At 61.4% G+C, this 26,278-nt stretch overlaps 2 protein-coding genes across 15 annotated transcripts in view, besides 1 other annotated feature; one reads left to right on the top strand and one right to left on the bottom strand.

Moving 5' to 3' along the window:
* Positions 1-5,629, top strand: part of STK32C (serine/threonine kinase 32C) — a 124,754-nt gene extending 119,125 nt beyond the window's left edge. For 9 of the 14 annotated variants that reach the window (XM_011539693.3, XM_011539688.2, XM_011539690.3 and 6 more), the window contains 2 exons: positions 4,010-4,077; positions 4,960-5,629. In XM_011539693.3, coding sequence (XP_011537995.1) covers positions 4,010-4,077; positions 4,960-5,101 — 210 coding nt within the window. In that variant the 3' untranslated portion in view covers positions 5,102-5,629. Of the gene's footprint in view, positions 1-3,746; positions 3,817-4,009; positions 4,082-4,959 lie in introns of those variants that run through there. The other 5 variants (NM_001318878.2, NM_173575.4, NM_001318879.2 and 2 more) reach the window with 3 other exon arrangements.
* A 1,722-nt stretch (positions 5,630-7,351) lies between these two features.
* DPYSL4 (dihydropyrimidinase like 4) lies at positions 7,352-26,163 on the bottom strand. Its single transcript, NM_006426.3, has 14 exons — positions 26,009-26,163; positions 22,276-22,364; positions 20,269-20,453; positions 18,102-18,266; positions 16,189-16,250; positions 16,010-16,090; positions 14,628-14,696; positions 14,140-14,260; positions 12,599-12,755; positions 12,128-12,269; positions 10,995-11,165; positions 10,286-10,465; positions 9,184-9,349; positions 7,352-8,272 (listed from the first exon to the last, which is right to left on the bottom strand). The coding sequence occupies exons 1-14, from the start codon at positions 26,045-26,047 to the stop codon at positions 8,181-8,183; spliced, it is 1,719 nt and encodes a 572-aa protein (NP_006417.2). The 5' UTR covers positions 26,048-26,163; the 3' UTR covers positions 7,352-8,180.
* Positions 24,943-25,444: an enhancer, noted in NCBI's record as "H3K4me1 hESC enhancer chr10:134001171-134001672 (GRCh37/hg19 assembly coordinates)". NCBI's record gives its function as "activates a minimal SCP1, AML or CMV promoter by ChIP-STARR-seq in naive H9 embryonic stem cells {active_cell/tissue: H9 hESC(naive)}" and the evidence as "EXISTENCE:reporter gene assay evidence [ECO:0000049][PMID:30033119]".
* Positions 26,164-26,278: the final 115 nt, after the last annotated feature.

The following is a 26,278-nucleotide window of genomic DNA, read 5'->3' as shown; positions in this document are numbered from 1 at the left end:
CCCATCCCATGCCAGAGCCAGGAAGGGATCATCCTTGGCTTCATTAAGACCTGGCAGGGTTCCTGGAGGGGAAACCCACAAAACGTTGGGGGCCTCATAAGACCGCAGCCGCAGGAGTTCTGCACACGGCCCCGGCCGCTCCCCAGAGCTGCCCAGGAGGTGTTCCCACACACCATCAGTTCTGCTCCAGGCCAGCAGGTCTCAGCTGTGACTTTGCTCACCTGTCTCTCCAGACTTGGGGGTCGCCGCAGCGCTTTGACCTCAGCTCTCTGATAGGTCCAGGAAAAGTCATTGATTTTCATTAGTTCAGCATTTTTCCTGTCGCAGGGATGGGAGTGAGGCCTTCCACGTTGTTTACCGCAGAGCAGAAGCCAGAAGTCCTTGCTCGTCTCTGTGTTTCTTCGTCGGAGTCATGTCTTTTATTTCCTGAACGCAGGTGTGTGGTCAGACAGGAGATTGGCAGGTATTTCCTCCTGTTCCATGGGCTATCTTTTCTCTTTCTTGAGGGCATCATTTGCAGCAGGGAAGTCTTGGACCTTGACGTTGTCCGATGTGGCTGTTTCCTCCTTGGCTGCTCTGCTTTGTCTAAGGATCCATCACCTCAGCTGAGGCCACAGGGATTTACTCCCACACTTTCTTCTAAGTCTTGTATAGTTTCAGCTCTTGCGTTTAGCTGTGTGATTCATTTTGGGTTAATTTTTATGAACAATGTCAGGTGAGGGTCCAGCTTCATTCTCTCATCGGTGGATATCTGACTGTCCTAGCACCATTTGCTGAAGAGAGGATTCTTTCCCCATTGAATTGCTTTTGACATCATACCTTGTTTTTTGACTTGCCGTTTTATCCCATTGGTCCAGACGTCTGCCCTGCGCCGGGACTGCACCATCTTGATAACTGTAGCTTTGTAGCAAGCTTTCAAATCAGGATCTGTGAATCCCCCAGTTTTGTTCTTTTTGGACATTATTTGACTGTTCTGGGTCCCTGGCATTTCCACTGAATGCTGAGGGGTCTGACAGTTGCATCTGAGCTGCCAAGCAGGTTTGTGGCGGTGCTAGGGACTGAAGCCTGCTCCATTTCCCAGGCCCCTCCTCGCTGTGGGTGACATCTGGGGTCCGAGGCTGTGTCTCAGCATGTGTGAAGGTGCCACAGGTGCCCTGAGATGGGGATTCCTGGTCCAGTTACTCAGAAAGTGCATCCAGGAGAGACCCCCGCCCTTCTCGGGATGGGAGATGCCAGCAGAGCTTGGCTTTCAAGCAGAAATCTGGAAATCCTGTGGGGAGTGGCTTCGGACTTCAGGGGACCTGGAGCGTCACTTGCGGTTCAAGAGGTCCCTGCCCTGAGGGAGCTGGGCTCTCAAACACCCACACCAGTCAGTCATGGGCGAAGGGCCCCTCTGTGGCCTTCTGACTGTGTGTGTGCTGGCAAAGGGTTCCAGCCACCCAAGGAGGAGGCAGGGGCTGTCAGAGGAAGAGCAGGGCAGATCCAGGCCAGGCACAGACCCTGCCATGGGGTACTGCTGGCGGCGCTACACACACCTTGGGAAGGGAGTCCCTGTGGAAAGGGGTCGTGGTCACACATCTAGGTGACACAGCCCGGCTTGGGCGCTGCTCAGAGCCACCCCTTCCAGATGGTTCTGGAGCAGCTCCTCAGGCTTCTGGTGGCCTCTCTGCCTAGGAAAACATGGCTGTGGACGTTGCAGGATGACCAACAGCCCCTGCCACTGGGCTGCACACAGGGCCACGACGGGCGCTCATGTTCTGCATCACTGGCGCCCACCCCAGCCCCTCCCACCTTGTGTCGCTGTGAATCGCAGGATCCCAGCGGCTCAGTCGGACCCTCATTCCTGAGTAGTCTGAGCCTTAGGTCACCGTCACCTTCTCAGGCCGGCCCGAGTTTGCAGACTTGTCTGTCTATATCAGGGTTAGACCAGAGAGTGCTGAGACACAGCAGATCACCCAGCCTGTCCTCTTCTTGATGACTAAGGACAGGTCCCCTGCCAGGATCGTGACTCCTTTAGGGGAGGCCACAGTGACAGGGCAAAGCCTGGAGGGAGAGAGCCACATGGAGAGGAGAGGGCTGCCCGCAGAGAGCGTGGGAGTCTGCCGGCTTCTTCTCGAGTCCTTGGCAAGGTGCTGGCCGCTCACACCGTGTACGTGTGGGGAATGCCCAGGACCAGGGTGACACCACCAGGAGGAGCGGGCGGGACAGTCCCCACTCAGGGCTAGGAAGAGAGAGTCCACATTCCCGCTGCCAGGGTGAAACCCTCACACCACCACAGATCCAGGAGAGACACGGAGGGCACTGCCTCGGGGTGGGGAACGTGAGCTGCTCCCCAAACCCAAGAAATGTGTTGAGCCCTATGCTTCCTTCCTCGTGGGAAGAGGCGCAAGGTGAGACCGCTTGTCCTTTATCTTGGCGGGCACGTCCGAGTGTGACGCACGTCAGCAAATCCCTGAACCGTTCATCGGAGAACAGCCTTCTGCATCTCCCACACTCTGTTCGTGGGTTTACAGGGTGTCCAGAGTACTTGCCACTTGGCAATCAGCATTAATAGGATCCACAGGGCCAGGCATGGTGGCTCACGCCTGTAATCTCAGCACTTTGGGAGGCCGAAGCAGGCGGAGCACCTGAGGTCAGGAGTTCAAGACTGGCGTGGCCAACATGGTGAAACCCCGTCTCTACAAAAATTAGCTGGGTATGGTGGTGGGCACCTGTAATCCCAGCTACTTGGGAGGCTGAGGCAGCAGAATCACTTGAACCTGGGAGGCGGAGTTGGCAGTGAGCCAAGATCACGCCACTGCACTCTAGTCTGGGTGACAGAGCGAGACCAAAAATAGGATCCATGGATAGCAGGCAAGAGTGTCCAGGTGTTCGAGGCACAGACGACACTGTGACAGGGAAGAGTCCCCTTAGCCCTGGCTGGGGCCGTGAAAGCATGCTGTTGTCCGTCTCGGGTGAACGCAGACTGTTGTCACGCATTGCATAACGATGCTTCCGTCACTGGCCAATCGCATGGGGGGGTGGTCCCGTAAGATGGTAACACTGGGTTTTGCTGTACGTTTTGTATGTCTAGATAGGGTTGAGCGTTCTGGTGTGTACCCACTCACACGTCCCCTCCGACCTTCAGAGCCCAGCTCCCTCCCTCCCAGGGCCTTGGCTGTGACGTGGGTGACTTCCTATGGATCTGAGGTTCTGTGGTCCTCACAAGTGGGCATCCTCTGGCCTCAGCTGCAGGAGGTGGGGGCCCTTTTAATGCCACCCGAGGCCTGCGACTCCCTGCACTTTTCACTGTGACTTGGCTCATCTGGGTCTGTCATTTGCTCACGCGTTGGTAGTGACCAACGTCACCATCCAAGTTCACGGTCACCATAATGATGCTTTCCCCACACCATGCCAGCGCTGAGCGGCCAGCACCCCCTCCACCCCACCCACGCCCTCCCCCGACCCCTGCGTCCTGGGAAGTGGTCCTGCTGCCTGAAGGAAGTAGTCCTGCCTGCCCATCACACACCAGTAAGGGTGGGTCCTGCCAGGGGCAGCCTCCGTCCACAAGCTTGCCCTGAGGACCTGCTTCTAAGACAGCCCTGGTTCCAGGATTCTCTGGGCAGGGCCCCAGAAGCAGGCCTGGGACAGGTGTGTGTGTGCTGTGATGAGGGGCTGGGAGAACCCGGTATGAGACGGGAAAGGCCCGGCAAGGGAGTGGTTTCCAGCAAAGTCCCGCAGAGAACAGCTTCTGCCTGGTCCTGCAGGCCCCACGGAGCAAGTCCAAGCCATCCACCCAGAGGCAAGGGAGCTGGGCCTTGGCATCCTCGGGCTTGGGTGAGTCACCCGCAGAGATGCGAGCTCCCGGGCAGTCTGGCTGCTGGAGGGCCGGGGCACTTCAATAGCCCAGAGGCCGTCATCCAAAGCCACAGGTGGAGGCCCGATGGGGATGCCCAGACACTCACTTGAGGGGACATGGGCGGAACCTGGACAGCGTCCCCCACGCTCACGTGTGCCTTTCCATCCACAGGAGAATGACTATCTTCAAGACTGCCTCGATGCCATCCAGCAAGACTTCGTGATTTTTAACAGAGAAAAGTGAGTGTGTTGGGGGTGGGTGGGCGTGGTGGCAGAGAGGAGGAAAATGGGGCTAAGGTTAAGGTTTTCTTGGCCACGTGAGCGGGCACCTGTGGGCCTGGGGTGCGTGGCCCTGCTCTCTTTGGGGACTCTGAGCAGCAGCTATGGAGGGGAGCGGCGGGAGGCCCCTGCCAGGCTCTGGCATGTTTGTGCTCCACGCGGGGCCCGTGGCTGGAATCTTCTGGGGAGAGACACATCATTTGCCCAGATGAGGGGTGGTGACTTCCTAGGAGGCCCCATCAGAGCCACGTCAACTCCCCCACCCAGGCACGCCCTCAGTCTCTCAGCAGACCTTTCCTGAATGTCAGGCCCCAGGGGACAGAAAGGGCACAGATGACTGGCAGCAGGCAAGGCAGGCCAGAAATAGCAGCAGCTGCCACGGTGGGGCCCAAGGGAGGATGGATGCTCCCTCTGCCCGCACGGGGCAAGGAGGGCCTCCTGGAGGAGGTGGGTCTGAGCTCTTATGGACAGGACGTGCAGGGCAGCACGTGCAGACGGCTGAGGGCACTGACTGGCACCCTGGGGATCAGATGACCGGGTGAAGAATGAGGCTTAGCCGAGCCTCATTCCCAAGTCACTGACCTATGGCACCTGCACAGTCAGGCCTTTCGGCTTCTGGCTGGAAACACGCCGAGCCTCGCCAGCATGCTCACGTGCCCCCACCCGTCCCCAGGCTCCCTGCCAGTGTATCGGGAGCATGGCCTCTCCAGCAGACACCGAGCCTGTGGCCCACGTTTGGGCATCCACGCCATGGCCTACCCCATGAGCCCGTGGGCAGGTCATGGGACCGTGAGGCCAGGGAGGTGGGGGCATAACGCCCTCCATGTGTTCCTGCCACCCCAGGCTGAAGAGGAGCCAGGACCTCCCGAGGGAGCCTCTCCCCGCCCCTGAGTCCAGGGATGCTGCGGAGCCTGTGGAGGACGAGGCGGAACGCTCCGCCCTGCCCATGTGCGGCCCCATTTGCCCCTCGGCCGGGAGCGGCTAGGCCGGGACGCCCGTGGTCCTCACCCCTTGAGCTGCTTTGGAGACTCGGCTGCCAGAGGGAGGGCCATGGGCCGAGGCCTGGCATTCACGTTCCCACCCAGCCTGGCTGGCGGTGCCCACAGTGCCCCGGACACATTTCACACCTCAGGCTCGTGGTGGTGCAGGGGACAAGAGGCTGTGGGTGCAGGGGACACCTGTGGAGGGCATTTCCCGTGGGCCCCCGAGACCCGCCTAGATGGAGGAAGCGCTGCTGGGCGCCCTCTTACCGCTCACGGGGAGCTGGGGCCATGGATGGGACAGGAGTCTTTGTCCCTGCTCAGCCCGGAGGCTGTGCACGGCCCTCGTCACAAGGTGACCCTTGCAGCACAGGCCGCGGGTGCCCCAGGCTCGGCTCAGGTCTTGGAGGTCAAGGGCATGGGTTGGGGTAGTGGGTGGGGAGGTGAATGTTTTCTAGAGATTCAAACTGCTCCAGCAATTTCTGTAGTTTTCACCTCTGAGAATTACAATGTGAGAACCGCTCGATGTTGCATGTTCTGCGTACGTCCTGTGTCTGCCTGGCCGTCAGGCCGGTGCCTGCCGTTTCTGGTTGGCCTGGACTTGGGGCAGCCAGTGGGGTGGGCAGCTCCTCAGGGCAGAGCTCCCGGACCATGGCTTTGGGGTGGGTGCCTGTCTCCGTGGCCCTGGAGCCGTAAGGCTGTGGAAGGCAGAGACGGTCCTGGAGGCAGAGGAGCCCAGGACAGCACCGTGCACCGTGGAGCCACCGCAGTGCCGGGCAGTGCTTGGCCCTCCATAAAGGGACGTATCCCTCTCACTGTGGCTGGGTGGTTCTGTGGTTGGAACTGTAACTAACTGGGTAAACGGCCTGTGTGCTTCTCTCTGGTCTCGCTGGAGGAGGACGGGCTCAGCCCATCAGCCCAGCGCTCCAGACAGGCCTGTGCTGGTTTCCTCTGAGGAAATGGGTGTGGCGGGTCTGTGCCCCTTCCCAGGACAGCGGCCATAGTGGACATGTGCCTAGACCTGTGTCCATGAGCCCCACTGCACCCCTGGCAAACAGGGCCCTCCCGTCCTTGGCTGGGCTGCGAGATGGAGATGACAACGGCCAAAGAACATTTGGGGAAGAACCGGCCATGCCACGAGCAGAGTCAGAAGTCCGAGGGGATAGAATGCAGCTTCCCGTCCCCCACCCACCCCTGTCCTCTGAATCATGGCAGAAACTAGCCTTCCAGCCCTCAGCAGCTCACATGGGGGACACGGCACCCAAATCACCACCAGGAAGGGTGGCCCGGTCTCTGCGAGGGCCCAGAGGCGCCGTGTACTCGGTGGAAGTCTGGCGATGTCAGAGACAGGCTCGGGGCAAGGACAGGTGTGGGGGTTTGAATAAGTGCATTTGGGGAACATGGCAGGGTGGTGCACCTTGTCCTCCTTCGAGACACTGGTGAGGTGTGGGTGCTGTCTGGTTCCCTTGATCGCCCCCCACACTGGGGCAGAGTGGGAGATGCTGGTGTGGGGGACATCAGCTCCCACATCTGGGCCAGAGGGAGCCCCGGGAAGGAAATGCTGAGGGCCCAGGGCCTTCGCCTGGGATCTGCACAGCTTTATAAGCAGCCCAGGGTGAGAGATGGGCCTGTCTGTGGTTCCCAGAGACCACGGCAGGAAATTCTCTGTCACCATCGGTGCATGGGCAGGGGCCAGAGAACCGGTGGCACAAGGTGTCCCTGGCTCTCTGCTCAACAAACAGCGAGTGCCCAGTGACTGCGACCAGGCCCCGCTCTTGGGATGAGGACAACCGTCTGGGAACGTCCACGCACCCTTTGAGACACAGCACGCGCCAGCACCGCAGTCACACACCGGGGGCTCGGGTCAGCCTCATAGCTGCCCGGCCTTGAGTGCTGGGCCTGCGTCTGTGAGCAGCGCCCACCTGGGTGGCGGTGGTGTGTGCTTCACTTCCACACACTCCCGTGCATGCTCCCCGGCCTTCTGGGGTGGCTCGGGCTGTCCGGTGAGAATGTAGGCGGGGGGGGGGGGGGGCCTCTGTCCCGCCCTGGATGTTGGCTGCCCTCTGCCCCGCCCTGGATGTTGGCTGCCCTGCCGGCCCTCTTCCCTGTGAGAGGGTGCGCTCCTCCCTGCCATTGAGGGGAGAAGAGCTGCGGCTGCAGGAGTCGTCGGACCAGCCCACAGCCAGCCAGGCCCCGCCTGTGCAGAGACGGCGTGGGGGAGAGGAGACGGGGCCTTCCTTCCATGCACAGGCGGCTTCAAACCCAGACGTCTTTAATGGGCCTGATTCACATCAGAGGCAGGATGACTGCCTGTCCAGGCGGTGGGTGGCATGCACAGGTTCCTGGCTACAGTGTCCTCAGTGTACAAAGCTGCTACTAAGAAGCCTACGGAAATACACAATCTGTAATAAGAGGACAGTGTCTTCCTAAAGGATCGCAAAACTTCCCTGGATGAGGGCTACATGGAAGCTTAGGTGTGGGCCTTGGGGTGCGTAAAAGGGACCCTCCACGGGCGGGGCTGTGCTGCACCAAGTTCTGATGGGTCCCTGAAGTCTCAGCAGCTGTGTGAGCAGGAGGGCTCTGCGCCCACTTTCCTCCCAGGCCTGCGATGGGCACAGGCCTCTGAGGAGCGGCTGCGGGAGTGTAGGGCTCTGCGAGGCAGTGACTGGTGGTGGGGAGGCGGCGGCAAATGCCCACCAGGCGGGACTCGGCCCCTCGCCGGTTCACCAAGAAGCCTGGTGTCCAGCTGCTCCCACACTGTGAGCCCGGCAGGTTCCCTGTCCCCAGGCTGGGCCCAGCGGGCACTGGGGTGCCTGGGCTCAGGCTGCCGGCATTGTCCCTGCCATGTGGCTCCACCTCACCCTGGCAGTGACATCTCCCCAGGTTCAGCCCTTCTCTTGAGGGGCTCTTGGCAGCAGGACCTGGGACCCCACAAGGAGAGCCTGTGGGGAGGGGGAAGGCAAGACCGCCAAGCACCTTCGAGAAACTTCTACAAAAGAAAATGCTAAGGAGGGGGGCGAGTGCCCTGGGGCCCCCGCGGCCTCGGGTGGGGCCAGCACGGCTCACAGGGCCGGTCCTGGGCGTCTAGGAGAGAGAGGTGATGTTGGAGCGGCCGCCAGGTGGTGCCATGATCTTCTGTGCTGTGCGTCGGGCGATGTGGTCATCAGCCTGAGACCCTGAAGAAAGGGCACAGATGGGCAGGGGAGAATGAGGCAGGGGCAGGGGCCCTTCTATTCAAGGCGTGAGGCAGAGTCAGTGGCTGCGTCAGTGGGGCCAGGACTGCAGAGCCCCCGCACACCTGCCACCACCAGAAGGCCAAGCAGACCAGGTGCCCGGCAGGACTCCCATCCCTGAGGCCCGGGGTGCAGGTGAGGCTGCCCAGGAGATCATGAAACCTGCGGGGACTGTGGGCTGCAGGAAGCCCTTCCTGTCCCGAGAGGAACCCGGGCCAGTCCTGCCTCGTCCCTGCTCTGGGTTCCGGGTGATGAAAGGCTGCCCCTGGCCTCCCAGACAGTGCCGGGTTCTCAGGGACCTGCCCCCAGGCCTGAGTCCCCAGGAGGTGAGCAGGGCTTTGCTATCACCTTCCTGGGTCCGGAGAATGCACCAGAAGCGACGCCAGAGGCCGGACCCTGGCAGCCTGAGCCCTCCCAGGCATTCTCGTGTATCCCTCCAGGCCCCGGGACACAGCTCAGACCCTCCCTTGTGCCTCACGCTTGGTTCTGGGGCCTGCTGGGTGGGGACCTGGATTCCACATGATCCTGAGATCCTCGTCAAGGCCTCCCACCTCCCCTGAGGCTGGATCCATGCTCACTCCTGGGTTCCATGTGACAGCCTCACCCCAGTGCCACTGTCTTGAAGGTGAGGGTTCATCACAGCTGCCCTGGGCAGACAGCGGGCAGGAGGGGCCTCCCTAACTGGGCTCAGCCCTTGGCCCCCACAACACCCCCAGCAGCATCTCCTGCCCCAGTCCCCAGCTGGGTGCCTTCCGTGTGCAGCCCCTCTGGGCACAGGCTGGGCCCTGGTACCTGAGGCCCTGGATGCTCCGGCAGAGCCCCTCACCCCCACTGGTGCCCCAGGCCCAACTCACCAGATAGGCTGAACCCCGACTGATGTAGGTTGCGCACAGGAGGGACGGAGATCTTGCCTGGGCAGGACGCGCGGGCCGGAGCGCCACTCCCTGGCTTGGCAGGCACCATCACCTCGTGGACGGGCCCGTCATACAGTCCACGGGGCACACCGTGGATCTCCGCCAGCTGCCGGGGGGGTGGGGGCAGAGACAGGGCATGAGGGGCTGAGCCTGGGCAGCTGTGGGGCCAGAGATGGGGCATGAGGGGCTGAGCATGGGCAGCTGGAGGGCTGGGCCTGCTCTGCGCCTCTCCAGTGCCAGCTTCAGGAATTTGGGGCTGCCCTGGGGGGGTGCTCAACCCAAGTTCACACACGCCTCCCTCCTTGCAGTCCTCCCCATACGTGTATAATGCCCGCCTGCGGTCCCATCTGCATGTGTGTGCAAACGTCCCTCCCCTCAGTCTTACCAACACAGGTGCACATGCTCAACCTCCCTCCGAGGCCCCACGTGCACTTGTGTGTGCACAGACGCCACTGCGAGTGCCCCTGTGCGTGTGTGAAGCACCTGGTGGTCTGGGGAGACCACACCTGCTGCACCGTCAGACACGGATGATGCCGGGCAAGCGTGGCGTCACCACAGTAAGAGACTGGAAGGCCATGGGGGGGGGGCTCCCGTGGCTGAGCTCCTGAGAGCCCATGTGGAGAGGAGCACACGCCCCAGTCCACAAATCAGCGTGCACGTCTGTCCATGGGGAATCCCAGAAGGACCCACACTGAGGTCCAACTGGGCAGCTCCCGTGGGGAGCTAGATTTCTGCTCACTTTATATCTGTATTTTCTCTAACAACCGTGGATGACTTGGGTGGGACCCAGCTGCCGTTCACAGGCACTTGCAGAGCTGATCCAGGGCCTGAAGGTCCCAGTGCCATGGGGGCCTCCCCTGCCATCTTCCGGGAGCAGGCTCTTCTCCACTTAGACCCACCAGGGCCCTGGGCAAGCAGCGGCCCCGCTCTGTCTTCCTGACCCCTCGGGAGGCCGGGCCAGGTTGACCAGGGGTGCGTTCTGGGCCTAGAACTCAGCGCCCACCTGCCTACCTGCACAACACCCTTGCGGGTGCCGCCCTACCCTGTTGCGAGCTTTGATCCTCTTGTAGACAAAGTCCGGGAATGTTTTCCGAGGGACGAAGCGGCCCGCCCCCGGGGTGACAAACATCTTCCCGTCCTCCAGCGCCACTCGGCCCTGACTTATGACCACGGCAGGCGCTCCCCGGCACTCCACTCCCTCGAAGATGTTGTACTCCACGTTCTGGGGAGAGAGGCCCGAGGGTCCAGTGCCTCCACGCTGGGGCCCAACAGTCCCATCCCCGTTGAGCCGCTGGAGCACTGTGGCCGCCCAGCGTGGAGCAGGCCCGGTGTGCCTACACTGAGCCCCTAGCAAGATGCTGGAACTGAGGGGTTGGAACTCGGGAGGAATGCCCCCCCTCGGCCTACGGACCTCGTTTCTGAGTCCCGTTTCTCTCGAGGACAAAGGGGACAGGCGTGGGCAGGCAGGGAGGGTCACTTCTCCCTTGGCTAGGCAGGTGCACACGGCACCGCTCTGCCCCAGCCTCCTCCATGGCACAAGGGGACCACAGATGCAGCGGCCACGCAGCGAGGTGACGTGGACAGGGCCCATTTCAGTGTCTGGCCTGGGACAGGCTGTGTGGACGGCCCTGGGATGGCTGAGGCCACTGCTGCTGCCACGTGGGCCTCTGTCCTGCGCCTCTCCTGGGAAGGCTGCCCTGGGGTCCCGGCCCCACAAAGGCCAACCCTGACTTACAGCCGCCTTCTCTTACCAGATTGTGGGTCTTGGCAGAGATGATCTTGGTGGCCTTGGGGTTCCATATGACCAGGTCAGCGTCAGAGCCCACAGCCACTCGCCCCTTCCTTGGGTAAAAATTGAAGATTTTGGCAGCATTTGTACTGGTCACCGCGACGAACTCATTCTCGTCCATCTTCCCAGAGGCCTGGGGAACAAGAAGGCTGAGCTGAGGGCGACGGGTGGGGTTGGGGTGAGGCTTGCGCGAGGACAGACACTGGGCCACCAGGACCCCACAAGGATGGATGCCAGGTCACCAGGCCCCCGTGAGGACAGACGCTGGACCACCAGGCCCCCCACAAGGTTGGACGGCAGGACACGGGGCCCCTGCCAGGTCAGATGCTGGACCGCTGGGACCCCACAAAGACGGATACCAGGCCCCCGTGAAGACGGGCACTAGAGTGCCACCCAGGCAGCCAAGATCAGGACAGGGCTCCAGCCACGGCCCTCGCCATGGCAACACTCAGGGTAAGAACGCCTGAGTAACCCCTGGGGTAAGAACGCTGCACTGGTGAGTCAGGGAGCCCATCTCAGTGATGCCTGCTGGTCTGCCCCTTCCTGGGCGAAGCCTTTCTGCATTCACTTTGTGGGTAAAGCTTCCACGAAGGTTCAGCGAGAGTGGAGCTTCAGTGGCAACACCTGTGTCCCCTGAAGGACGTGACAGTCTCCTTGGGGAGCCCTGGAGGCTGGGAAGGCAGGAGCAGCTGAGGGGAAGAGCTCAGTTGCCCGGGGAGGTGGGGCTGAGGATGCGGGAGGGCGCAGGACAGGGCGGTGTGCGACGGGTCGTGAGGGCATCGCGGGGGAGCACTAACATCACAGCGTGGAGACCCCATGCTGACCCCTGGGCAAACACAGTGTCCGGGCAACACTAGAGTCTGCTGAGGGGTGGGGGGCTACCAGCTGCCCCTGTTGCTGTTGGAGTCTCATCTGGAGGGGCCAGAACCACGTGTCTGAGGCGCCCTGGGTGGGGAATCCGCCACCCCGGAGCCCGTGTGCTCTGATCTGTTTCACGAGTGTGCACTGGTTAGATGGGCTCCCTTCTGACCAGCCATCACAATCCCGCCCACAGCCGCTCCCCAGACGGCGTGCCCCGGCCAGGCCTGTGCTCACCACACATTTCTCCCAGACCATCGACATGCGCTCCTCAATGCCGTTGGTGCCCTCGGGGATCAGCGCGAAGTTGTCCTTGCCCACAGCCTTCTGGGCAGTGGTGAAGGTGCAGTGGGCGCTGCCTGTCACCTGGAGGTCCCCGCTGGAAACAAGCCAGGGTCAGAGGGTCCTGGCCTTCCTGAGCCGGCAGAGGCCAGGTCAGCTCCAGCCCCCTTGGCCAGCACAGCCGCAGGGGCTAGAGGTCATCTGAGTGGCTCTCGCTGGGCAGAGCTGGTGCCTCTGTGCAGGGGAGCGGGGACTGGTTCCTGCCAGGGGAGCCCCCGCTGGGACCAAAGGGCTCAGACTTCCCCACCCGCCACTGTCCGGGCTGCCCTATGGGAGCCGTGGGAGAGGCCTGGGGTGTCGGGGCCACAGCCTTGGCAGGGTGTGCAGCGGGCGGCCAACCTGGGGCCACCTGGAGAGGCTGCTTACCTGGACAGCAAGCAGGTGAGGTGGTCCGCCGTGGTGGGGTCTGGGTTGACAGGGGGTGATGTGACGAAGGCTGCGGCCTTGGCCCAGTTCTTGCTCCAGTAGTGTGAACCGTCGGTGCCCAGGCTGGCGGTGATGGGCTCCCCAAACACGACCACCCCTGCAGCACGAGGCCCATGAGAGGTGCCCCACCGACCACCTGCACCCCCTGGGGCCCCGAGAACTGCTGCTGCTGACACCCACGACTGCCCCTCACTTTCCTTGCCTGGGACAGCTTGTGCCCAGTCTAGAGTCCCTGGCCCTGGGCAGGAAGTGGGGCAGAGGCCTGGGTCGCGGGCAGACGTGGTTGGCCCTGGGGGTCCTTCTGGGAAAGGGAGTCTGGCCTGCGGACGCCAAGTCCTCTCTCTGCCCACACCCCACCCCAGGACCCCGGGCACTCCAGCGGGGCCAGGGCGTGCCTGTGGGCTGCGAGGCACAGTGAACTGCATGGCGGCTGACTGGCCGGGGGTGCCCTGGCCATGGCCTCACCAGGGTTCCAGCTCACAGCTGAGGCAGCTCCCACCAGTGGGTGGGGGAGAAATGCTCCCAGGTGGGGTGGGGCACCCCCCGAGAAGAGCCTGGCGGGTGGGGTACCCCTGAGAAGGGCCTGGCCTGCTGCCCCGAGGCTGCTTGGTGTCCTGAGTGAGGCCCGGGCCTCACCCCTGCAGACCCCCATTCACCTGCACGCCTCAGAGTCCTTTTCCCAGTTAACTGAGTGGGTTTCAGTTTCAACCCTCGATGCAGGAAACACATAGAAGGGCACCACCCACCACCACCACCACCCCGCCCCCCACCCTGCCCAGGGACCTGCACAGCCCCAGGCAGGCCCAGAAAACGAGGTCTCTCAGGACTCAGTGCGGACAGCAGGAGGAGGGGAAACCAGACCAGATCCAGAGGCCGCCTAGGGGATGCCCCCTCATTTACCCGTCACCTGGGTTCTGTGCCTGGATCCTTGGCCCTCTCCAGCCCCAGTGATTGCTGGGGCTCCATGGACCCTCTGAGCCCAGTAGCCTCTGGGGGACACCACAGTCAAGCCGCTGCCAATCACAGCTCTGGGTGGCACCCCCCCGCCCAGGCCTGAGGCTCTCTGCAGTGCCAGGCTCCAGCTGGCTGGCATTCTGTGGGCAGGTAGCACCCCGGCTCTGGACACAGCAAATAGCAATGTAGGGAGGGCCTCCTTGTTGGAACTGGAATTCTCTCTTGGAGACCCTCCTCATCATTCCATTCTCCCCACACCCACCCCCACTGGAAATGGGATGAGCGTCCCCATGTTTTGCCTCAGGGCCCCTGGTGAGCAGCTGCTGCTCCAGCAAGGCTGGAAACTCAGGTCCAGCCCCTGCCCCGATGCAGGGACTCAGGGTCCAGTGCCCCACCCCGATGCAGGGACTCAGGGTCCAGTGCCCCGCCCCGATGCAGGGACTCAGGGAACCTGCATCTCCCCAGGGCTGCACCCAGGAGGCCGAGACCATGGCCCCTCGGCATCAGAGGCGGGGCTGGGTGCTCACCTCTGCGCTTGGCCTGAGCGATGGCGTCGGCCGCCCCCTTGCTCATCACCTTGGTGACGTACAGCGGGCAGTTTGCCTGCTTGGCGATGGTGACAGCTCGGTACACCGCCTCAGCCTCCACCTGGGGACGAGATGAGAGGGATGAGGCCACACGAGGGCCCTGGGGCTCCAGACCAGTGTGGGCAATGGGGATGCCCAGGTGTCACCCATGGGATCCCAGGCTCAGGGCAGCCTAGTAGGAGCGGCCCAGCCTCGGGCTCAGTGCCTGGGCCTGCCCACGCCACCTTCTGGGCCTCGGGTACAGGCTGTAGGGTTGTGGGGGGATGGAGGACAAGTGCCTGGCACGGGGAGGATTCACGCCTCCCAGATGAGGTCGGGGCGAGCACAGTGGCAGGGCCAGGAGCCCAGGGCCAGGGTCAGCACAGCCCCAGGCAGCAGTGGTCTGGGCGGAGTTGGCTCGGGTGTGCTGTGGTGCCCTGGGATCTTACCTCCTCGGGGTGGCTGAGCACGTGGCCCTCGGGGCCAGTGATGCCGAGCTCCAGCAACCGCTTCTGCTCCTAAAGAAACCAACAGGATGCCTCGCTCCAAGCCCTGAAGGGAGCCTGGGCCTTGGATGCTAAGCCCAAGGCTGGGAGGCCCCATTCCCCAAGTGGTCCTGGACCCCCAGGCCTCCCAGAATTTCCCAGCCACAGAACACTCAGAATAGAGGGCAGAGGGGCTTGGAGAGGTGTGATTCCTGCTCCCTGAGTTACCAAGGAGGGGACAGCTCGGATAGGGGAAAGTGGCTCCCCCAAGGCTGCAGGGCTCCTGACTGATGGCACCAAGACCCCACCCTCCCACCACTATGCCCATCACGCTGCCTCCCCCAGCGGGGGCATGTGTGGGGGTGTGCACAGGCAGGGAGGGCTCTGCAGGTCAGGAATGGACGACCACTCCTTCCTCCAGCACTGCCTTTCCGTGCAGATTTGCACTACGGCATCCGCTCGTGTCAGGGAAGACATGGTACCGGCCAGAAGCAGCAGCCCCAATACTGAGGCTCCCTCCCGCTGTATGTGGAGCATCCCTAGACCCAGGACAACCTCCTGACGGTGCAGCCGGGGCCTGGCCTTGGGCCACAGAAGTGTTTGTGATGCCCCGATGCCCTCACAGCTGGACGGGTGGACGAGGACACTGGGGACCCCCCACATGCCCCTGCCCGAGTGCCACCACCTTCCTGTAGAGCTCAGGAGGTGGGCAGAGCCCGTCCCGTCCCACGAAGTCTCACTGTGGGTTTGCAGTGTCAGGGAGGTGTGTCCTGTGTGGTGACCCCCACTGAGGTCCCACGGGTATGGGGTGGCCCACTCTCTGAACTCCATCTGTACCTGTGGGTGCCTCTGCTAGAGGGGAAAACAAGGTGCAGGGCCAAGGTTGCCTCAGCCCCAAGGGCCTGGGGGGTCGGCGCCACTGCACGCGGGCTCAGGCCCTCCCCAGCCCGGTGGGATGTGTCTGAAGGATGTGGCCCTGTCAACATGGGTGCCCTTGGCTGGAAGGAAGGTGGTAACCCAACCCCCAGCGGGTACCCCGCTCCACAGGAGGGGCCTCGATCCCTGGGGCTGACACTTTGCTTTTGAGGTATTTTGGATAAGAAGTGTTGATCAAGGAGAAGCTGTTTTATGGCCTCAAAGCTCCCCATCACCCCCCAGTCTCTCTAACTCACTGGTTGACCTTTGACTCGGGGTAAGCTATGACCCTCCCTCAAGGTTTTGTGGGATTCTGTGCTGATGTCTGCGTATCATGAAAGTCACCCTCAGACCCCTGCCCCACCCCACAGGCAGCCCCTGCCCCACGGCAGCCCCTGTGCCTGCCCCACGGCAGCCCTGCCCCACGGCACCTCCTCCACGATGTCCCCGTTCTCAGCGTGCACCTGGGCCAAGGCCCCCAGGTCCCGGATGATGCTGAAGATCTCGTACATCTGGGAAGAGAAGTGGTGGCGTCCTGGGTGGGGCTGCGCCTGCACCAGCAGCGGCCTGGGATATACCTGCCCACTCCGTTCCCCACGCCTGCCCTTACCTGGCTGTCGCTGCACTGGCACCGGTCCTTGTATGCCATGAAGACCAGGAAGGAGTTCACACCTGGAGAAGAGGCAGGGGTCAGAGGCTCAGCCATCACCAGTCAGACAACCTACGGAGCCTCTGCTGCTCCTGCCCACTGGAGGGTTGGGGGTCTTGGGCCCCTCCCCCGCAGTGCTTCCCTCACTGGCTTGCCAGCCCTGGGAGCAGTCCCCCGCTTCCATGCACACACCAGCAAGCTGGGAAGTGAGGCGGAGGCAGCTACATCCAGGCCCTCCTTGCCTGCTCCTGTGCTCCGGGTTAGGAACTGATTGTCCACCCAGCGGCAAATGCAGGTGAGAACCCCTCACACCCATCCAGCAGACCCCCCGTTACTGGAAGAGCCGCTGTGCCTGGGCTCTCGGCCTGGGTTCCACTGGCTCCCTCCTGGAAGTGCGGCCAGGGCCGCGCTGTGCTGGGGACCTGCATTCTGGCCGTCCAGCACATCCAGCACCTGCCTGCAGGGCCTTGGAGCCCCACTTGCCATGCCTGGCTCACAGTGCAGGCTTGTGGGACCACCCAGATCTCAGGGCTGGGCCCTTAGGACGAGCAGAAGGATGAGGGGCTGCCTCTGACGTTGGGGCCCAAACAGGAAGAGGGCTGAGCTCTCCTGTTTCCTGGGCAGCCACAGCCCATCCACCTCCCCCAGGACTCGGAACTTGTGTGGGGACCGGCCTGGGCCTGGAGGCAGGATCCCAACCTCCCATCACTCAAGCCCACCCAACCCATGGCATCTCCTCCTCGCTGGGTGGAAAGTGCTAGTGTGACAAGCTAAGGCACACTGGGGAAACTGAGTCACACTGTGCCCCACAAGCCATCCCTCCAGGTAGCAACCTGTATGTGACCTGGAGTTTGAGGCCTGCCCCCGAGTGTCTGAGGAAGGTCATGTTTGGGTTGCGCAGTGCTGTCCCTGCAACACTACCCCGTGGGCACAGGACTGAGGACTCCTGCATGGCTCTTGGGGAGCAGAGGCCCCAGCACTGCCAACACAGGGTGAGGGGAGGTGCAGGCCCTGCTTCCACCTCCGCTCTGAGACACGAGGCCACAGGCCTCCCGAGTCCACTCACAGAACAGCATGGGTGGCAGAGCAGCTGCCTGGAGTGAGGCCCAGGGACTGAGGATTGACGGGCTCCACCAGCCCCCGGGCAGGGAGGTGAGGGGTCCTGACATCAAGGGGCACCTATGTGATGACCGTCACCCTCTGAGGAATGGGAACCCAGAGGAATGGCCTTGAAGAAATGCCCCTGCCTCCTTCAGGTCTGTAGGGGACGGGTAGCAGGCATCCCTGGGAGTGCCAGGGCCTTGACAGGCTCCTGGGCTTGCTTGGACCCCATCCCGCCCCCACCTCCAGGCTGGAAGCTGTGGGCCGGACTCAGATTAGGAGAGATCGGCTATAATCAGATATGCCACTTGTCAAACCCACTATGAAACTCTGATGTAGTTTTAGCTTCAGGGTTTTTTGTGGGGAAAAATGTTAACTTGTTTATAGACTGATCTGTTTTAGCATTGGTGACAACAAAGAGATATGGATTTAAAAGGGTCTCCCTCTGAAAGGATCCCCAGATGCTAGGAGACTGGGGAACTGCTGCTCTTCCACCCTGGGCAGCCTCTCTTCTAAGAAACGACGGATCTGCTGCATCTTTTCATCAGGAGGACAATTCCAGGATGGGTCCCTCGGATTGGGAAAGAGAAGGCCTCTTGGTCTAGAGCCTTTGAAGGTGGGATGGGCCTTCAAATGACTTTTCTCCAACTTCCACTCAAACCTGGACACCAGCCCCCAGGGCAGAGCAGCACCATCGGCAGAACACAGGGTCAGGGCAGAGGCTCCTCCACCAGGCTCCATGCCCGCCCTCCAGCCCCTCCAGCCACCCTCACCCTTCTCCTTGACCAGGGCCTCCAGCTCCTCCTTGATGCTCTCATGCCATCGGGTGATGTCCACGTGCAGGGAGTAGTCGCAGCAGGCCGCGCTGTCCGCCCGCTCCCGCCACTGCTCGTAGGCCGCCAGCAGGCTCACACCCGTGTCGGGGAAGACGTGGTCCACTGTGAAGGCAGCATGGTCAGCAGCTTCCCCCACTGGTCCCTGGTTCCCACCTCTGCCTCCTCCATGGGAGATTCTGTTTCATGTTCCCAAGAGACCAGAGGACCATTTGAGGGAGACACAGCAGAGGCCACCGGCCCCTGAGAGAGGATGACGCTGCCACGAACCCGTTCTATTGCTTTGTTCAAAGAGGAACCTTCTGTCCCAAGTGCCCCAGCCACCCTCTGAGCACAGAAGGGAGAGGGGAGAAAGGAAAAGCCCCACCCCAAACCATCCCTACTCCCACATCGCACTTGGAGGAGCACAGGAGGTCGGGGCTTTGCCCTGCCTCCAGCTCCTGTCAGGCTGGGTGAGGCACCCCGAGGGCCAGGCTGGGCCAGTGCGCTGTCCAAGGTGCTGGGCCCCACCTCTGGGTGCCTTCCTAGAACAGTGGGAGCTGGGCTGGTTTCCCGAGTGCCCCACAAGACTTGAAAGGGGCCATCCTGCCCCCTGCACACAGCCATCATGCTGCTGCCCCACCAACCACACACCCAAGGCCCGAACACTGCTCACTGGCCTCTCCTGGTGCAGCCAGACACAGCTCCAAGCCAGGTGGTCGGACAGGAGGGCGCACCCGCCAGGGATGCCTTCCTCCAGCACAGCCCTCCCTCGGGCCCCTACTCATCCCAACAAGATGAAGTGGGCACCCAGCCTCCCTGCAGCCACCCACAGTGCCAGCCTGGGCCTGCAGGCCGAGGAAGACAGAGGCAGGATAGAGGCCAGCCTCGTGTCTGTGGTGTTTCTCTGTCTTCGCGGGGACCCACAGCTGGCCGGGTGCCTTGGCACTGGCACGAGGCAGGTGGTCTCGACTGTGCAGACGTCCTGACCGGCTTGGGCCGCCCCCTGAAGGGCGCGAGCAGTGGCCAGTCTCCTCAGACTGCAAGATGGGCTGCTGCTGGTGTTTTCTCCCTTTGTGGCTGAGTAAACCAAACCAAGCTGTGATTTGGTAATGGCTAAATGTCCCGCGAGGTGTTTCAGGGTCCTCAGAGCTGCCCTCCCCGGTGTGCCAGGGACACAAAGCAACTGACGTGCATTAACTCACACATGCCTCAGAAGCTCATGAGGCCAGTGTTCTGTTTTACAGATCAACAAAGTGTGACTTATAAAAGCCAGCTGAGTTTATCTGGAGTCACACAGCTAGAAAACCATACAACCAGGTTCAGCTAGGCTCCTCAGACCCGTTCTCAACCACAGCAGCGATGTCTGTGCCAGACGGACGCCGCAGAGTGAATGGCACCCAAGGCCACACAGTGCAGTCAAGGTCTAGGCTCTGAGGCCTCGTCCTGCCTCCTGAGCTCACCACGTGCTCGTGGTGGGCAGGCGGACTCCACTCACCCACCTGTTAAACTAGGCTTAGCTGAGCCCAGCTGGGCTGAGCTCAGAGGGTTTTAGGAGGAGAGCATGTGAGCCGATGGGTGTCAGGATAGAGCCCGTGCCGGGCACGCAGCCAGCACTACAGAAATAGCAACTCGGGTTATTTTTTGATGGGATAATAATGAGCATTGCTTTTATCTTTTTCTAAAAATACAGTCTCCATCCTTAACTCTTCTTGACATGAGCAAGAACCTTCCAGATATGAAGCTTCCGAGGCATGTGGCTCAAGGTCAAACATGTATCTGGCATTTCAGACAGCATGACCCCTCCCCTCGCCCAAGGCATTTGAGTTTTCCAACCCCCAACTCCGAGCTGGCTACTAGTGCCCAGGGAAGAACAAGTGGACACACGTCAGTCACTGATTTCCAGTCCTGGAAATCCCAGGAGCATTCCAGCACTGGCCACACAGAAACACCCAGAGTGAGACACAGGGATTAGAAAAGCACTCCAGGTTCTCAGACAGATGCAATAAAGGCAGACAGCTGAGAAAGGCACCTTTAGGCGACACTCCTCCTCCCACACACACCTGGCCAGAGAGAGGGGCAGCAGACGCTGGCTGCCCCCTGTAGAGGAGGAGACCCAGACACTCACAGATCATGGTGGTTCCTCCTGCTAGCGCTGCCTTGGTGCCCTGACAGAAGTCGTCAGCCGGTGTCATGCCCAGGACAGGCATCTGCAGCCTTGTGTGGACGTCAACGCCACCAGGAAGGACCATCAGGCCGTGGGCGTCAATGGTCTTGATGCCCCCAGGGACGATGAGGTTTTCTCCGATTTGTCTGAAAGCAGCAGAGATTTCACTGGTTACAGGGAGCCCAGGTCAGAGCCCAGATGGGCTCCCAGCAATGCAGCAGAGCTAAAGGGTTTGCATGAGCTCCAGACCCCGAGGAAAAGGCCAGCACGGCCGGCCACTCACTGGACTAGCTCCTCGGGAGTGCCAGGGAGCAAAGCATCACTCAGCGCAGCTCAGGACGGTCACTGCAGGGTCCAGCCTCACGCAGACGCCACGCCCTGTGGTTTTCCACTCAGGTCCCTGGTTGGTACTTTTTTGACTAGAGGACGGAGCAGCTTGACAAACGGAAGCAGGTGCGCTAATAGATGTGGGCACCAGTATTTAGGAAGCACCTGCTATGAGCCAGGCACCATACTAAGTGCTGCGATGAACAAAGAAACGTGGAAGCTGGTGTCCTGCTTTCGCCCACAGCCACCCAACATACCTCTGCCCTCACCAAAGGCCGGGGCTCTGACAGTGGCCACCAGCTTACTGCTGCCAAGGATGGGTTTAGAAAAGAAGAAACCTCTCCCATGGATTTCACCCAAAAGTCAATGCCTGGATACCACGTGACCAGTGTGTACACAAGAGCTGGGAACTATTTTCACCTGCCTGGATACCACGTGACCAGCGTGTACACACGAGCTGGGAACATACTTTCACCTGCCTGGATACCACGTGACCAGCGTGTACACACGAGCTGGGAACATACTTTCACCTGCCTGGATACCATGTGACCAGCGTGTACACACGAGCTGGGAACTATGTTCATCTGCCTGGATACCACATGACCAGCGTGTACACACGAGCTGGGAACATACTTTCAACTGCCTGGATACCACGTGACCAGTGTGTACACACGAGCTGGGAACTATTTGCACCTGCCTGGATACCACGTGACCAGTGTGTACACAAGAGGTGGGAACATACTTTCACCTGCCTGGATACCACGTGACCAGCGTGTACACACGAGCTGGGAACATACTTTCACCTGCCTGGATACCACGTGACCAGCGTGTACACACGAGCTGGGAACATACTTTCACCTGCCTGGATACCACGTGACCAGCGTGTACACACGAGCTGGGAACATACTTTAACCTGCCTGGATACCATGTGACCAGCGTGTACACACGAGCTGGGAACTATGTTCATCTGCCTGGATACCACATGACCAGCGTGTACACACGAGCTGGGAACATACTTTCATCTGCCTGGATACCACATGACCAGCGTGTACACACGAGCTGGGAACTATTTGCACCTGCCTGGATACCACGTGACCAGTGTGTACACAAGAGGTGGGAACATACTTTCAACTGCCTGGATACCACGTGGCCAGTGTGTACACAAGAGGTGGGAACATACTTTCAACTGCCTGGATACCACGTGGCCAGCGTGTACACACGAGCTGGGAACTATTTGCACCTGCCTGGATACCACGTGACCAGTGTGTACACAAGAGCTGGGAACATACTTTCAACTGCCTGGATACCACGTGACCAGTGTGTACACAAGAGGTGGGAACATACTTTCAACTGCCTGGATACCACGTGGCCAGCGTGTACACACGAGCTGGGAACTATTTGCACCTGCCTGGATACCATGTGACCAGCGTGTACACACGAGCTGGGAACATACTTTCAACTGCCTGGATACCACGTGGCCAGCGTGTACACACGAGCTGGGAACATACTTTCACCTGCCTGGATACCACGTGACCAGCGTGTACACACGAGCTGGGAACATACTTTCAACTGCCTGGATACCACGTGACCAGCGTGTACACACGAGCTGGGAACGTATTTTCATTTTCGGCGGAAACTTACTTTATCAAGCCATCTTCCACGTGCACATCAGCGTAAAAGGACTGGTCGTCATTCACGATCCTCCCACCTCTGATCAGAAGGCGGTCACTCTATCGGGAACAACAAAGGGTAATTTTTCTCCAAACTGAGTTACTCAGTAACACTCTTGGTGCAACTCCTTCCTCTGAAATTATGACTGAAACATTCAGGCAAAATTTCTAGACGTAAAAACGAGCACAAAAGCCTGCAGCGGCTTACTATTCCCCAAGAAGTGGCACCAGGCGCTCAAAAACAGTTGCCCCTGGAAGTGCCACGCACGCCCCACAGCTGCTGCTCAGACCTCGCTGAGGGCAAAGCCCGTGTTGGTGAAAGTGTGGTAGTGCCACAGGTCATATTTATATCTTCTGATTTACCACTGGATTGAGGAGCCCCAGCCTGAGGTGGGAGGCGAACGCTGCCTCATGGCCTCCTGTGCAGCCTCAGAGATCCTGCTCTCCTCCACCCTGTCTTCCACCCACGCAGAGGAGGCTGGGAGCGGACGGAGCTGGACTTTGGTTCCACCCAAACACTACAGACCAGTGATGGTGCCAGGAGGCGGAGGCAGACAGCGCCCCCACAGGCATGGTCCCCACCCCAGGAGGCTGCCTCCCACTGAGGGGAGACCAACGGCAGCAAAAACACACGTGCACAGATCATCACAGTCGGTGACGAATGCGCAGAGCACAGTGAGGGCGCCATGGCAGGGCCATGAGAGAGGGGCTGGGAGAAGGACCTCTGGGGCCAGGGTGGCTGATACAGGGGCAAGGCAGACATGGCGAGCGTTCCAGCCAGGAAGCAGCCTGGCCTTGGGGCAGGAAAGGGCTTGAGCTGCCATCAGCAGACCTGGGAGGAGGCCGAGGGATGGAACCTTCTGGTGGGGTGGTGGTGCCAGAGGCAAGTCGGTGCCCAGAGCTTGGCAGGGGCAGGATATGTAGGCCTGGGGACTCCATGGCTGCCCCCTGACTGGGGGCCTTAAGCAGGTTTCAATCCTGGTTTGATGTTTTAAAGAGATCACCTTTGGCTGCTGTGTTAGAAAGTAGCTTGTGACAGGTAACAGTGGGAGCCGGATCATTGCTGGGGTGATTTCTGAGTGAGATGAGGGGCTCTGGGACAGGACTATGGGAAGGGACGGGAGGAGAGTGGATTCCAGAGAGGCTGGGAGTCAGGAGGGCAGGACTTGCTGACCAAGAGGCCATGGGGGTGATGGGGAAGAGATGGGGTGACCTCGGTTCCAGTGCAGCTCGGACGCACTCCCAGTGGGACACAGAGCGTCAGGCTGGTGAGGCCCGCTCTTTGTAGGTCAGCCCTGGCAGCACAGAGCTGTGGCGTTAGACAGGGATTGACTCCAGTGCTTGGCAGTCATAAATCCACTTCTAAGAATCCTACCAGATGGCCGGGAAGCAGAAGATTAGGCAGAAAGTAGGGTGTCACTGATGGGACTCTGCATGACCGTCAGAGGTGAAGATCTGACCTCATTGGAGAATGGGGGAGAGAAACACAAAAAAGGAGTGAAAGGAGGTGGAGAAGGACGCGCCCACGGGCTGGACTCGGCAACGCTTTTCCCTCCACCGTCTGGCGTGCGCCTCAGCACGCCCTGCAACTGACCCGGCAGGACTGACCGTCTGCATTTAACAGGGAGGTCCGGCCGCCTGCTCTGGGTTTCCAGGGCCCACCCATAGGTGGCCAGGGCCCTAGCCTGGGGCTAGAGCCTTCACGCACCGTCAGTCTGAAGCCAAGAGCATTAAACTGAAGTGCACAATTGGTAAAACTCTCAGAATGAGAAGGAGTTCATTATCTAGGAACTCCATTACAGGATTCACTGCTGACATCTAACTGTGGGGCTGTATTTTCAGGATCCCAGTGACTTGTCAACCTCTACCCCATAGTCTACAAACGGTTGGCAGACTATGCCACAGGCCAGACCCAACCCTCTACCTCTCTTCATACAGCCCTAGGCTAAGAATCGTTCTTGTATATTCACTGAAAACAATAACAAGAGTATGTCATGACTCAAAAATTCTATGAAGTTCACACTGCAGCATCCACAGATGAAGTTTTGTTGGAACACAGTGGTGCCCATCGACTTCCTAAATGTCCAGGACTGCTTTCCTGGCAGGGCCAAGCAGCTGAGACAGGAACAGCGTGGTCCGCAAAGCTGACAACATTTACTCTCGGGCTGGTTGTGGAAGAAGTTTTAGACCCTTGGTCTACAGAGCTGTCTGTTCCCAGCCGCTGCACCTCTCCTCCTCCTGCCCAGTCCCAGCTGAGCGCCAGGCTCAGCCCTGACCCGGCACCACCATGCATTTGCAGAGCCTCTGTGGCCGCATCAGGCCCTGGCTGCCTTCCCGGTGCTGTCCCTCTTCTTCACTTTCCACCCCTCCCAGGGGACCCACGCATTTTCAAGGAAGCCCTAGAAAACGCAACCGGGCAGAAGGAGGCTTGAGGAGACGTGTGGTCTGGGCTCTCTGCTCATAGGCGCCCAAGTGTTCAGGCACCCGCACTGAGACTGGGTTTGGAACCCAGAGGAGACGCAGCTGGGGTGTGGGGCTGTGCTCTTCTTACTGCACTCATCCGGATGGAGGTGAAAGTTCCCGGGAAGCAGCTGCCCCTCCGCACTGACATGGTTGCCTGACCTCCCCTGGGAAGGGGTCCTCCTGCCACCCCCAAACTCGACCCCCACATGCCAGCTGACTGGCAAGACCTCCTGCATCAAGACCAGACCCAGCCGGGCAGAACCCTCTGGAGGCAGCAGCCCCTCCCATCTGGAGAGGGGAGGGCTCCTTCCTCGCTCAGAGTCTGGGGGAGTGGAGCCCACAGCCCACGGCTCGAGCTAATGCCAGAGGTCAGACCCCACGGCCCTCCCGCCGAGGCCAAGTCCAGAGTCGGGTCTGGGACCCCATGGACTCCCCCGCCCAGGTCCTGCCGGGTCCCGAAGCCTCCTTCCTCCCACCCCCATCTCCCCCCGCCCGAGCGGGGAGGCTTTGTTTCTGGCAGAGCGGGACCTCCCGCGCCGGTGCGTGTGGGTGTTGGGGAGGGGTCTCTGCTCTCGAAGGTTCAGGGGCTGCCAGGGTTCCCGGCCAGTGGCCCTTGACCGCTCGCTTTCCTTGGAGTCGCTGAACCCAGGTTACTGGAAGGGTTCGGGGCCACCAGGGACTCCGGCCAGAGCGGCCGGGGCTAAATCGCTTTGTCTCGGACAAAGAGCTCCCGACGCAGCGCCAGTGCGTCCAAGGGGCGGGCGACCCACGGGCTGCGCCGGGAACGGCATCTCCCCGCGCCCCGGACCAGCCCGGGCCAACAAAGGGCCGCGTCCGCCCGCCTCGCCACCCGACCGCCGTGGGAGAAAGGAGCCGCTAGCGCTCCGAGGGACAGGCCGCCCGGCCCCGGGTTCTCCCCGGGCGCAGCCGAGGCTCCCGGAAGCCGGCAAGGCCGGGCAAGGCCGGGCAGGGCCCGGCAGGGCCCGGCAGGGCCGGGCAGGGCCGGGCCGGGCCGGGCCTGGGCGCCCCGCTCCTTAAGGGGGTCTGCGCGGCGCTAGCGGGGACTCTCGGACCCTGGGGCGCGAAGGAGCCGAGCAGGGAAGGGCGGGCGCCAGGACAGGGACCAGACGCAAAGGCAGGGACCCCCCACCCACGCACAAGACCAGGAGGGTCCGCCCGGCGTCCAGGCCCCACTCCGGGCGGCGGGCAGGGGGCGCCGGGCGAAGCGGGACCGGGCTCACCGTGATCCGGGGGATGCTTTTCTTGCCCTGGAAGGACATCCTGCTCCTGGGGGTCTCTGGTAGGGGCGGCACAAGCGGGGGCGGGCGGGCGGGCGGGCGGGCGGGGGGACGCGTGAGCCGGGACGCGTGCGTGGGGACGGCGGGAGACAGACTGCGAGCGCGCGGGGCCGCACGGCTCCGTTCCGGTCCCGCCCCCGCTGGGCCCCGCCCCCACCCCGGCTCCGCCCCCGGCAGGCCCCGCCCCCGATAGGGCCCGCCCCAGCCCGAGCC

The sequence above is a fragment of the Homo sapiens genome, chromosome 10 (assembly GCF_000001405.40).
Source record: "Homo sapiens chromosome 10, GRCh38.p14 Primary Assembly".
Taxonomy (NCBI): domain Eukaryota; kingdom Metazoa; phylum Chordata; class Mammalia; order Primates; family Hominidae; genus Homo; species Homo sapiens.
The sequence above is the reverse complement of the archived record's forward strand: the minus strand, read 5'-3'. Positions and strand labels throughout refer to the sequence as shown.